General features: G+C 50.4%; 1 protein-coding gene and 1 long non-coding RNA gene across 4 annotated transcripts in view, besides 3 other annotated features; one reads left to right on the top strand and one right to left on the bottom strand.

Moving 5' to 3' along the window:
• Positions 1-3,079: part of a biological region, named in NCBI's record as "Xq28 proximal FLNA-EMD recombination region", that runs on past the window's edge. NCBI's record gives its function as "recombination_partner: LOC107988033".
• Positions 1-3,079: part of a non allelic homologous recombination region, noted in NCBI's record as "proximal repeat sub-region recombines with the distal repeat sub-region within the Xq28 distal FLNA-EMD recombination region, resulting in an inversion", that runs on past the window's edge. NCBI's record gives the evidence for it as "EXISTENCE:Southern hybridization evidence [ECO:0000078][PMID:9140403, PMID:9384614]".
• On the top strand, positions 3,463-5,036 carry LOC105373386 (uncharacterized). Its single transcript, XR_001755979.2, has 2 exons — positions 3,463-3,979; positions 4,717-5,036. It is a non-coding gene; the product is annotated as an uncharacterized LOC105373386 (long non-coding RNA).
• Positions 4,699-4,918: an enhancer, noted in NCBI's record as "active region_30055". NCBI's record gives its function as "activates an Ori minimal core promoter by ATAC-STARR-seq in GM12878 lymphoblastoid cells {active_cell/tissue: GM12878}" and the evidence as "EXISTENCE:reporter gene assay evidence [ECO:0000049][PMID:35858748]".
• TKTL1 (transketolase like 1) overlaps positions 8,641-13,401 on the bottom strand; it is a 34,556-nt gene continuing 29,795 nt past the window's right edge. For all 3 annotated transcript variants that reach the window (NM_012253.4, NM_001145933.2, NM_001145934.2), the window contains 3 exons: positions 11,304-11,400; positions 11,033-11,152; positions 8,641-9,475 (listed from right to left, as the gene is read on the bottom strand). In NM_012253.4, coding sequence (NP_036385.3) covers positions 9,303-9,475; positions 11,033-11,152; positions 11,304-11,400 — 390 coding nt within the window. In that variant the 3' untranslated portion in view covers positions 8,641-9,302. The remainder of the gene's footprint in view (positions 9,476-11,032; positions 11,153-11,303; positions 11,401-13,401) is intronic.

Here is a 13,401-nt window from a genome sequence, read left to right as displayed (position 1 = left end):
CACCTTTTGGGCTAACAGCTTTTTAGGTAGCTGAAAATTAGATGGGAGAACTGTAGCTTTTCGCTTTTTCCTTCTTCCCTGTTTCCTAGTCCTGTTCCCCTCCCTCCCAAAGGGGTCATTTAAAATGTGGTGTCATTTGGAATGTGTTTGTTCAATTGTATTTTAGTTTTCTGAGACAGGGCCTCGCTTTGTCACCCAGGCTGGAGTGCAGTGGTGTGATCATAGCTCACGGCAGCCTTGATGTCCCAGACTCAAGTGATCCTCCCACCTCAGCTTCTGGAGTAACTAGGACTACAGGCATGTGCCACCACGCCAGCTAATTTTATTTTTTTGTAGAGACGAGGTCTCACCCTGTTGCCCAGGTTGGTCTCCTATTTCTGGCTTCAAGCGATCTGCCCGTCTCGGCCTCCCAAAGTGCTTGGATGACAGGCGTGAGCCACTGCCCTGCACCTGTGGATTTTTTGTGTGTATGGTTTTGCCCACCGTAACTGTCCCTGTGCTGCATTCCTATTCTGCTGACTGCTTCCGTCATTCAACAGGGTTTCTCAGCTCTTTGTCTGTGGCCCTGGAGACGTACAGTTGACTCCTGTGCTCCTGCAGAGGATTTCAGAGCTTGGATGCAACACATTTGATCATTCCCACCCTGAGTGATGCAACCCCAGGGCTTCAGCTCCTGGTGTGCCACAAACCATGCCACGAAGGCCATGGCACGGAATGTGGCCTTAGCGAGAAGGGAGAATTGCTCTTGCTGAGGTTATCAAGGGGTAGGATTGCTGGGTTCAAGAACACTGATGTTTCATTTTCTTATGTTTGTTCTGTTCTTTTTTTTTTTTTTTTTTTGAAAGAGTCTCACTCTGTCACCCAGGCTGGAGTGTAGTGGCGCGATCTCGGCTCACTGCAACATTCACCTCCTGGGTTTAAGCAATTCTCCCACCTCAGCCTACCGAGTAGCTGGGACTAAAGGCGCACGCCAGCATGCCTGGCTACTTTTTGTATTTTTAGTGGAGACGGGGTTTCACCGTGTTGGCCAAGCTGGTCCTGAACTCCTGACCTCAAGTGATCCCCCCGCCTCGGCCTCCCACAGTGCTGGGATGACAGGCGTGAGCCACCGCGCCTGGCTCCTTTCCCATTTTCTAAGGGACAGTCAGTCTCCTCCATACCATTTGTCACACAGCCTTTCCCCCATGATGGCACTGCCATACTCCTGCTAAATGCGCAGGCATCTGTGGTCTCCTCTGCACTTGTCCTTCCAGGGAACGATGCAGTGGGCTCCTTGCTTTGCATCTCGCCATACCTGGTGCACCTGCCAGCTCCCTTAGCAGGACCTTGCAGACAGTTTCAGTCATTCTTGGGCATTTTCTTCTCCATGTGAAGTTTCCCATCATCTTGTCCCGGACCATTAGACACCCACATCCCTGGCTTCCTGGGACTCTGGTGGCGTGATGGGAAGAGCCCACTTCTTAACATTGTTTTTTTTCAAGAGGATCTCATTCTTAGTCCAGGTGGCAGGAATGGTTTCCCCTGCTGGCCTCAGCTCTGTTGGCAAGGGATACCTGCAGTCTGGGGCCTGGAGTTGGAGCGCTCCAGACACGGTCCCTTCCTTCCGGGAGTTTCTTTCTCGTGGGTGAGCCAGAAGCAAACACCTCATCCCACAGTTCTGAGGGCCTGGGTGGGGCCATCGTCCTGGTCCAGGTAAGAGACCATGGAGTCTGGCCAAGCACGTTGGCTCCTGCCTGTAATCCCAGCACTTTGGGTTAGGGTTAGGGCAGGAGGATCACTTGGCTCCAGCAGTTTAAGACCAGTCTGGGCAACCTAACAAGGCCCCATCTCTACAAAAGAAAAAAAAAGTTATCCAGGCATGGTGGCGTGTGCCTGTAGTCCCAGCTGATTGGGAAGCTGAGGCAAGAGCATCTCTGGAGCCCAGGAGTTCGAGGCTGCAGTGAGTGTTGATCATGCCACTGCATTCCAGTCTGGGCAACAGAGCAAGAACCTGTCTCAATTAAAAAAAAAAAAAAGCCGGGCGTGGTGGCTCACACCTGTAATTCCAGCACATTGGGAGGCTGAGGCGGGCAGATCACCTGAAGTCAGGAGTTTGAGACCAGCCTGACCCACATGGAGAAACCCTGTCTCTACTAAAAATACAAAATAAGCCAGGCATGGTGGCACATGCCTGTGATCCCAGCTACTCGGGAGGCTGAGGCAGGAGAATCGCTCAAACCCGGGAGGCAGAGGTTGCGGTGGGCCAAGATTGTGCCATTGCACTCCAGCCTCGGCAATAAGAGCGAAACTCCATCTCAGAAAAAAAAAAAAAAAAGGACAGTGGAGTCCTAGATGGCGAGGGTAGCAATGGAGAAACCCACTTCAATTTCTTTGAGCCAACGGTTGGAAGGATTCCCGTGGGAAGGTCAGGAGGGAGAGGAGCCAACAGGTGGAACTCCGACAGTTCCCCCGTCCTCACCTTGTAGGGCTGCAAGATTCCTTGGTGCCTGTCTGGGCTCCAGGGCCCCCACCCACCCCTGCAGGCTTATGTGCGGATCAGCAAGAGGCACTCTGCTCTCGGGGCAGGTACTCGGCTGGAGGCGAGGACACGGGAGGGATTTCAGCCCTCTGGCTCCCCAGGAAGGTGTCCTTGTGCCGAGAACAGCCTGCACGACCTTCTAGGGCACCCAGGATTAGGCTGTATCCTCCCTCTGCCCAAACTGGCTACAGAAAGTTCATTTTAATGCCCACTAGAGAGTGAGGAGACTGTAGGTGCAATTTCTTTGTTGTTTTTCTTTTTTCTGAGACAGAAGAGTCTTGCTCTGTGGTCCCAGGCTGGAGTGCAGTGGTGTGATCTTGGCTCACTCAAACCTCCACCTCCCAGGTTCAAGCCAGATTCTCCTGCCTCAGCCCCCTGGGTAGCTGAGATTACAGGCACGTTCCACCATGCCCGGCTAATTTCTGTATTTTTAGTAGACGTGGTTTCACCATGTTGGCCAGGCTGGTCTCGAACTCCTGACCTCGTGATCTGCCCACCTTGGCCTCCCAAAGTCTTGGGATTACAGGCGTGAGCCACCTCACCCAGCTGTAGGTGAGATTTCTGAGTGCCCGTTACAAATTCCTGATTGACCCAAGCTGGGCAGGTCGCCCCGCCACCCCTGTCCAGCTATGGCCTGTGGTCTAGGTTACATGAGCCAGTGCTAACTAGGCTGGGATGAGCATCACACCTGTTAGACCCCATCGCCTGTCCTCCATGCATCCTTAGTGGAGTTTGGGAGAAGGCAAGGAAAGGAGCAATGATACAACTTGTAGTTGTGTCATTTCAAGCATACCTGGGCCACAGGTGAGTGAGGGCCGTCCCTGGGTGGAAACAAAGAGCAAATGAAAACACAGAGGGGTCGGGACTCGGTGGATCACACCTGTAATCCCAGAATTTTTGGAGGCTGAGGCAGGAGGATCACTGGAGACCAGCCTGGGCAACGAGGTGAGACCCCATCTCTAAATACAGAGAAAAAAATAGAAACAACCAAAAAAAAACAGGCCTAAGCAGGACCTGACGCTGGGGCCGTGCAGAAGCAGCTTGCTGCACTTGGTCTTGATGGCCTCTGGGTCAGGAGGCCTTGTGCCTTCAGGTGAGTGTGCCGAACGGAACCCCTCAGCTCAACCCAGTGTTTTTGCAAGGTTACTTCCGGGATAAAGGAAAGATGAGGTGAGCGCTGCCTCAGCACAGGGAGCTCAGGGATAGCAGGTCCATGTCAGCCTGGGTCTGCGTGAGCAGGTGAGAAGGAATCTGCCTGCCTCCCAGCAGGTGCCCTGAGCACCCTCCAGCACGGCCTGCCTGCCCACAGGCACGGGGAAAAGGCTCAGGTCTCTGTGAGCCCTGGCTGATAGATCACCTTGCCTCCTTAGTGCGGTCATACTGCTGGGATCCTGGCAGAGACAACCTACCTTCCATAGAGGGGACACGTCACCCCAGGATTCTGCCACAGGACTTTTGGAGGTAAAGCTGAAGTGGGGCCCACAGCCTCACGATGACAGCACTGGCCACCGTCATGGAGAGTAGAGTCAGTGGGCAGGTCAAAGAGTAAGGCTGGACCTGTCAGGGTTCCGGGGTGGAATCCTCAAAGATCCCCAATCACATCATTGTCAGCAATGGCTGGGAGCATCCACCCCCTCCTCACAGCAGCCCTAGGATGTCGGTGCCAGTGTTACCCCCATTTTCAGACAAAAACAGGAGGGAAATGTGACTCATGAAGTTGGGCTCCAGAGCCTGAGCCCTTTCTCGGCTTTGCTGCACTCCCTCCCACTCCTGCCCTTTGGAGATTCCCCGTGGTGTGTGGTGTGTGGTGTGTGGAGTGTGATGCATGTGGAAGGAAGGAGTCGGAGGCAAGTCTGGCTCAGTATCTCCCAGGCCTCGGGTCATCACGCGAAAAACAGAGGAGGGTAAAATGAGAACCGCTGTTCTCCTCTCGGGCCTGATCGGCTGAACTCTGCAAGCACAGACTGACCAGCTTAGAATTCTCAGCAGATCACAGAGCAGTTCTCATAGATGTTTGCATTATTGTGATGTAAAGCTACTGACTTCTCAGATCTCTAATAGTCTCTCTGACACAACAACCTAAGGGTAGAAAGAAAGAGATACAAAAGAGAAGAGTTAGAAATCCAGGGAGATTTGAAAAGCAGCACGTACATAAGCCTAGTCATTGCAATGAAAATCTCATCCAATGGACTCAACAGCAAATTGATGCCCCTGAACACAGAATGAGTGACCTGGAAGACGATGCCAAAGACACTTCCTCCTGCCCCGTTCTTAGCAGATGATGTGGCTTCCTCCTTCTGTGACGCACTGCAGCAGCCCCTCCTCGAGGTCCAGAGCCCTAGGCCTTCCATGCTCCCAGGCTCAGTACTAGACTCCTGGTCACCCCAACATCTTTATTTTTGCCTCCCTGCTCTGGGGGTTGTAGCTTCTTCCTTCACCAACTCTGTTACTTCAGTATCCCTTTTGCACTTTCAGCCCTCAAACCCCAAGTAAATACGCTTTCACTTCCCTTTCTTGAGATACTAGGTATGTATTTTTGTCTCCTAACTGGTTCCTGACTAATCCAGAACTGGCCCTGGGTAAGGTTCTGGAAGAAAAGGCCTATGCACATGGAATCTGGCGATTGGTCTGGTCCTGCCTTTGGGCTGGAGTGCAGGGTTGAGCATTTTCCCAGTGGGAAGTGGGGCATGAGCCATCCATGGCCTGCAGTGGCTTCACAATTAATCTAGCTGTCACTTCGGTTGCTTGGGATGATGGGCCAACTGAAACAAGCACCAGGGAGCTCAAGTCCTTGCTGCACCTGACTTGTCATGGTGGTCACGGATGGCTATGAGGGCTGTGGTATGGGATGATCCTTAGTGGCCCTGACTATGTACCATGAAGACACAATGGGCTCAGGCTCCCTAACTCTCAGCTCAAGCCACAGTAACAGAACCAGGGTGCTTCCAGGAAAGGCCTCAAAGTTCCCTTACTCCTTGTACTTGCAGGGCTGACAGTTCTGACAATCAAACACATTTTATTGTGCCAGTTACAGATTCCCAAAGTGATGAATTTCCAGCCTCGCCACATTTCACACGTGAATCGTGGGCAGTGATGTGGGAAGAATGGGACCCTGAAACCCGGAATGGGGCCATCTGGTTGGCCTTGGTTGAAGCTGAGACTCGAGAAGCCCCCAGTCCCTCTGCACCTCCCTTGGTAGTGGCGGCGGCTCGACCTCCCGTGTCTGGGGGACTGGTGTTTCTTTGCTGGAGAACTCTGTCACAAGTTTACCTGGGGAGGAGCCTTGCCAGTGGACACTCACTTGTATCATCCAGGAGACCCTCTACAACTAGACCTAGAACTAGACCTAGAACTAGAATGTTGCCGTTAGACCCAGAACTAGCGTCAGGTACACACTTAGGGAGGGAGGGTATCTCTCACGTGGGCCCTGATACCAGGTGCAGCCCAGGTCCTGCCCTGAGCGGTAACTCTGCGTGCTCGGCTTCCTCACCCAAGTACGGAATGACACATCAGATCATTCCAGCTCTCCCGAATCTAACGACCCAGCTTCTCTAACCCTGACCTCGGCCTGGCAGGGCGAGGAGGCCTCGTGAAGTGGTAGAACCTCTCCCGGCTGCCCGGGGAAGGCCGGGCTCCAAGGGTGAAGGCGAGTGCCCACGGGTAGGAGCCATGCCCTCCAGGTAGCGCCTGAAGCGTGGGGCCGACGGGGCGGGAGGGTGCGCGGGGCCGGCACGAGGCGGTGTTTGATGGTGGGTAGCAGGCGTCCAGGGAGGGCGGTGGGACAGCGGGGACAGGGGAGCAGCTCGGGTTGCACAGGGCTGCCTGGCCCAGAAGCGGGCAGGCGGGTTGGTTGCTGCCAGCCCCAACATAATCCCAGCAAGGCGGGGAAGGATCGTGCTGAGGGGCCGATGGGGCTGGCCAGCCGAGGGCGTGCTGGGGGTGCTGGGGAGTAGGAAGCTGCCAGGTATGCAGGGTGGGCCTGCATGGGTGTTTCGAAAAGATGGCACTAACATCCTGACCACAGCTTTGTGGGATACATGCTGTCCCCGTCATCAGCACCATCATCCCCTTCTACAGCTACCCAAGGCCCCACAGTCAAGAAGCAGATTTGGGGATTCAAGCCAGGTTTTGGGACACATGGTTCCCGAGTCCCTGCTGGCTGGCTTCTCCATGGGAAGTAATCAGAGCAATAAGATGTTAGGAGGACTCAAGGGCGAGGGGACTGGCCAGAGGCCAGGGTCCATGGCATCTTCCAGGGAGTATTCATTACCAGGTTCTTAACAGTTAACAAACACACGTGTTTACTCAGAAGCCACAGCCAGGCCAAGCTGGCAACAGGGCTCACTCCCCTCGCTGGGTGATCATGGCTCCTATGCTCTCATTCCTTTGATCTGCCCTACTGTTTCTGCCTAGAACCTTCTAGGGGACTGAAGTGAGGCTTTGGGGGCTCTTTCCTGTGTTTAGAAATTGCACATTTTAATCATGGAATCTGTTGCTCCATTTGTTGCCACCGTGCGCTTATGTGTCCTGTGGTCTCACCAAACCTGACATTTTGCACCTGAATACAAGCAAGCGTGGCTTGTCTGTTAGAATGCCTTCCTCTAAAGTAATGCTTTACAGCCACCTTCAGTGTCACTGCATCTACTCCTCACAAAACGGTATTTAAACACCACCCCCCACCACACTCTTGAAAGGGTACACAGAATTATCCTACGACACAGCAATTCAATTCCACTCCTAGTATACATGTCCATAAGAAGGGAAAATCTACATCTACACAAAATCTTTCACATATTTTGTGAAACCTACATCTTCACAAAATATGTGAATTGTCAGAACGCTATTCACAAGAGACAAAAGTGGAACTAATCCACATTCATCAACTGAATGGAAGAATAAAATGTGTTATCTCCATACAATAGAATAGTATGTGGCCATAAAAAGAATGAAAACCACTGAATTGTATACCTTAAATGAGTAAAATTGTCTGGAGTGTGAGAAGCTGTGATTACCTCGAAGTAGTGAGATAAGTGAGGTAAAACATTTTTGCCTCTTTGCATTTTCTAAATTTTCTGCAATCACCCTATAGAAACTATTTTTACAAAATAAATTTTGAAATCTTATGAAATAAGCAGAGCCATCATCATGCTCATTTTACAGGCCAGGAAACCAGCTCAGTGACTTACAAGGGCAGGAGTAGGAGGAGGTCCTGAGGACTCCAAGCCCCAGGCCAGTGCTTCCATCTCTATCCCGCACATTCTAGAACAATTCCTCAGTCACACTGGTCATGACTCCAAAGATCTCTGACCACTTAATTTGGGCAATAAAAATAAGGAATGGGCTGGGTATAGTGGCTCACGCCTGTAATTCTAACCCCAGCACCTTGGAAGGTCCAGGCGTGAGGATCACTTGAGGCCAGGAGTTTGAGACCAGCCTGGGCAACATAGTGAGACCCTGTCTCAAAACAAAACCAAAGCCAAAACAGGAATGTGACACAGCAGACACATCTAGTAGAATTTTAAATCTAGTTTTGAAGCTCAGGTTCATCTTTTTCTGGTTGACACTTTGATTCTAGATACATACTTCTTAAATTTTTTTTTGGAGGTAGAGTCTCGCTCTGTCTCCTAGGCTGGCGTACAATGGCAGGATCTCGGCTCACTGCAACCTCCGCTTCCTGGGTTCAAACAATTCTCCTGCCTCAGCCTCCCGAGTAGCTGGGATTGTAAGTGTGCACCACCATGTCTGGCTAATTTTTGTCTTTTTTAGTAGAGAGGGGGTTTCACCATGTTGTCCAGGCTGGTCTTGAACTCCTGACCTCAGGTGATCCACCTGCCTTGGCCTCCCAAAGTGCTGGGATTACAAGCGTGAGCCACAACGCCTGGCCTCTAGCCACATACTTTATGTGCTTATAGCTGACAGGAAGGCGTCAGCTCAGGGACAGCTTTTCAGGCCAGGTGCTGTCCTCGAGCGAGTGCTTCCTCTGCAGCCCATTATTCTTTCCCAGGTTTACTGGTGGGGGCCATGGCTCACTCTTTCTGGTTTGGATAAAAGCTCTTTCCTTATTTAGGAACTGACCACTGAGAAACTGATTCACACAGAAGGCACGTGCTGAATAAAGCAGCTGGTTTTGAAATGCTTTATTAACATTGACTTGAACAGTACAGTGTGGAGGCTCTCATCACAAGCAGCACAGGACATCCTAACAAGCTTTCGCTGCTGCCTGACAGCCTCTCAAACGTGGAGGGAGATGAAGGCAAACAGCGAAGGGAATTCCAGGGCAGCTGCAGGTGGGATGGCAGCACACAGAATCCCAAGGTGGGAACAGCAGTAGGCGTCATGGTGTTATCGTGCTGTGGAAACTAGGCTACTGGAATCTATACTTCAATCCACATTTTCTTTACTCATGAAGGAAATACATTGAAAAAACTATTACCTCTACCAGTTATTCACGAAGGAAACACTTCGGAAGAATTGATTACCTCTACCACTTATCTATAGTCTTATCAGAAAACTTACTATCAGGTGGTTGTTTTGTTACCTATTTTTTTCACTTAAAAGTTGTGTAACTCCCTTTAATGATCCAAAAATTAGAGCGGTACTTGCATATGCAGTGACAGTTTAAAGGGTAAGTAGTTAGCTTGAATTTCCGAACTAGGGATGAATGAAGGTGTTAGCTGGCTTTGCTTTTAAGAAACAAAATGTGACAGTAGAGATTTAAATGATGGTTTTGGAACAAACATAAACACAGGGTAAAGAGGCCAAAAGACCAAAGCTAACAGCTATTTTAGTTCAGCAACATGCATTTCACGGCCACTATGATATGTCTGGCACTAATTCCATACATATCCAGCAATTCCTCGGACTTCCCACTCTGGGGCACTCCCGACACTGCCAGCGAATGAACCTGAATGTCAGGATCCATGGAGACGGCTGCGCAGACAGCTTCCCCGATGCCACCTGGGGAAACAAGGATGTTAGGCCCTTTTGTGAAAGCAGCTCGTCAGCCTTAAAGCCTCACCACATAGAGGCCTTTGAATCTGCAGCTTCCCAGGGGAAAATCTGATTCATGTGAACAGCCACTCCGATGGGCCTGCGGAGTTCTCATTCTAAACTGCCAGTTTCCAAACTGCTCTGCCTCAACCTACAGTAAGGGCTGCCTGAGTGTGGGGGTCTGTGGCACTCTGATTCTCAAAGCTGTTGGGGACCTGAAAATGGTTAGAACTAATGAATTAACAGTGCAGAAAAGTGACTAGCTGGCTTGAGGCTGTTGGTTGGCAAGGTTAGCTCTTGGCTCGTGAAGGTTCCCTTGCTACTCTAACACTTTCCCCACTAGACAGGGCGGTCATGCACCTGGACTGTCTGTAGGAACAATGTGGTTGACATGAGCACCTGCTTTCCTGCTGGGAGCCAGGGATTTGGGTACCTGCCTGGCAGAGGGTGCCAACAGGACCTGCCCCCAGTACACACTTGAGGTGCCAAGTCTCTAGCAGGCATCCCTTAGGCAGGAACACAGCCTGCGTGGGAGGCACTTCTCAGTATGCCCCTTGTGGGGCCAAGGGGAGGCTGGGGCAGGACTTCTTTCAACTCCACCTGGCCCATGGTTCCTGCCCTGGTGGATCCCCCCCTGCACCCTTTCCCTGTCATCAACCTCAGGTGTGAGAGCAACTGTGTGCTGGGTCCCAGGAGTCCTTCGAGAGATCAGGCACCGCTTGTGCAGGCTCAGAGGGCCCCTGCCGCATGAACACTCAATGCTCCTTGTATCACATCATCTGTCCCACCTAACCTTTCCAGGCGCAAACACTGCCCAGCCCATTCTCCCTGACACACTGTTTTCTGCATTTGCTGTGTTCTCTGCTATACCTGCTTTCGTCGGGGCACACTTTTTTTTTTTTTTTTTTTTTTTTTTTTTTTTTTTTTTTTTTTTTTTGAGGCAGAGTCTCACTCTGTTTCCCAAGCTGGAGTGCAATGGTATGATCCTGGCTCACTGCAACCTCCACCTCCTGGGTTCAAGTGATTCTCCTGCCTCAACCTCCCAAGTAGCTGGGACTACAGGCATGCACCACCACACCCAGCTAATTTTTGTATTTTTAGTAGAGATGGGGTTTCACCATGTTGACCAGGCTGGTCTTGAGCTTCTGGCCTCAAGTGATCTCTACCTGCCTCGGCCTCCCAAAGTGCTGGGATGACAGGTGTAAGCCACCACGCCTGGCCTGGGGCATACTATTCATCATTCCAAACCCAAAGAAACTGCGATGCTTTTCATGACACCTCGCTTGCCTGCAATAGCCACTCCTCTGTGTTGCCACTGACCCGCCCTGGTGACTGGGCACTGTGCACTCTGTTGGGGACACACAGATGTGTATGAGTATGGCCCCACGCTTAGTGAACATCAAATAACAAAGCCATGCTGGGTGAGAGGTAGACTATAGGTGATGCCTGAGAGCATGCCATGTGGCCAATCAAGGAAACAAAAACACCAAAACCTTCCAAAGCATTCTCAATGCCCACACACACCTTGCGGGTAGTGATCCTCCACTGTAATGATCCGGCCCTCTGTGGCTTTTGCACTGGAGACGATGGTGGCGACATCCAGAGGTTTAATGGTAAACAGGTCGATGACACGGATAAAAATATCTGCAGAACAGCAAAAACCAGCTTGGTACAAGAAAGAGACTCAGAATAACATGCAGGGATAAAAATAAAAAGAGCACTCAGGGCACAGGAGGTAGCTGAAGTCCTACCTCTTCCCAGCTTGAACTTCAATGCTCATACTCAACCAACTGACCTTGTTTCGAAAGCTCATCAGCAGCTGCTAAGGCTTCATACACAGTAATTCCAGCTCCAATAACTGTGACCTTGTCACTGACACAGTGGCGGAGGACCTGGTATAGTGCCAGCAAAACAGAATGCCGTGGTTACTACACACAGAATGCATGTCAAAGTGGAAGGCACTTTGCTATGCCGCTATCCCCCAATTCTAACAATTTCACTCCTTAATAACTCACTACTAAAAAAATCAGATGCATTTACAAGCCAGGACACATACTTTTTGATAGGAAATTACACTGCTCCAGCTGTCCTGGAGCATGGATACGCCACATACCCATCAGGAGTCTGGTTTGAGAGCTCACTATGGCATGCAAAGATTGGACTCCAGTGACTAACATGTTAATGAGAACATTCTGGGCATTGGCAACACGCTGAGTGCTAAGATCTTGTGTGCCTGAACTCTGAGAACCCTCACAGCCTCCCTGTAAGATCTGTTCAGTGGCACAACCGTTCTGCAGCTGAGGAAAGCAAATCTCAGAGCAGGAGGAAGTGGCCCAGGGCAGGGCTGGGACCCACAGCCAGGCGGGGCTGACATCAAAGCCCTCGCTCTCGACAACGTACTATTCTGCAAGCAAAGACAGAGTTCCTGGGCTTCTTTCATAGATTGTTGCCTCCAAAGCTACCCATCGGAGGCATCTGGAATTATTCTCCACTTCCCCTCTGTATAGGTTTCCCTGTAGCTTAAGAACCATTGCTGATAGTACAGAAAGGGTTTCTGAGCCACCCCATTCTTTAAGGATGTCCTGGCCTCTTAAAATACTTATACACGCATGCACACATATCCATGTCCTCTTTTCAAAGCCCAGCCCTTTAACGATCCATGCCATGCATGTTATCACACACATTTATCTCACATCCTTTACTATCAGTAAATTTACTTGCTTTTGTCAGGACAGGAAAATTATTAGAAAAGAGACGACAGAAATAAGCAAGCTCTGCAAACCATGTGAATGTCAAGAGACCCTCCCCATAGAAACAGAACCTGTAGTTAACACCAAAGGTGAACACTAACTTTTCCATTTGGTGGCGTTTTCCAGCTACGTTATGGCACACAGTGGACAGTTCTGGAAACACCTGCTTTATGGCAGCACTCTGGCCATTCTGAGTACTTGCAACTGTGAATTCTGGAGCAGCCTAGTCCTTAGCAACCAAATTGGATGTTACCTGCTGCTCTTTCAAGAGTGGCTATGGGCAAACCTTTCTATTCAGTATGATCTCAACTGTGTAAAATATACATGTATGCCTAGAACAAAGACAGGAAGGAAGCATGCCAAAATGTCTACAAGCCCCACTCCCTAGGTGATGAGCAGAGTCACTTATTTTCTCCATAGACGTTTCTGCTTTTCTCTATGCATGGCCCTGACAGGCAGGCTGAGCAGGGGATGGTCAGCGTGGTGGGCAGACCTGGGGAGACTGGGCTCACTACTCAGGCCTGGATTCTGGTCTTGGTACTCACAAGCTGTAAACCCTTAAGTAAGACACTTACTTTCTCCAATCCTCATCTACAGATAGGACTGATAATCTGAACTTCTCAGGGCTTTTGTGAGAATACCAGAGATCATGTTCCCTTTTATTCCTGGCCTTAGATCTGTAAAATCTGAACCTAACAGATTATTCATTTCAAGTGATTTCTATTATTTTTTGTCTTGTTTTTAGAGATAGGGTCTTACTCTTGTCACCCAGGCTGGAGTACAGTGGTGTGATCCATCATAGCTCACTGCTGCCTTGAATTCCTGCGCTCCTCTATCCTCCTTCCTCAGCCTCCTGAGTAGCTGAGACCACAGGTGGATGCCACCACACCCGGCTAGTTTAAAAAATTTTTGTAAAGATGGGAATCTCGCTATGTTTCCCAGGCTGCTCTGGAATTCCTGGCCTCAAGCAATCTTCCCGCCTTGGCCTCCCAAAGCGCTGGCTTCTGTTTTGTTTAGCTTGCGGCCAAGATAAATTATAGCCACGACCGCTCAAGTGGCTTCATGTTACTATCTTTGAACTCAACAACAACAAAAGACTCCATTTGGAAAGCAGAAAAGTTCAGGCTAAGCTGAAATTCATAG

This window comes from Homo sapiens, chromosome X (assembly GCF_000001405.40).
Source record: "Homo sapiens chromosome X, GRCh38.p14 Primary Assembly".
Taxonomy (NCBI): Eukaryota; Metazoa; Chordata; class Mammalia; order Primates; family Hominidae; genus Homo; species Homo sapiens.
Note: the sequence above shows the minus strand (reverse complement) of the source record. Positions and strands in the feature narration are given on the sequence as shown.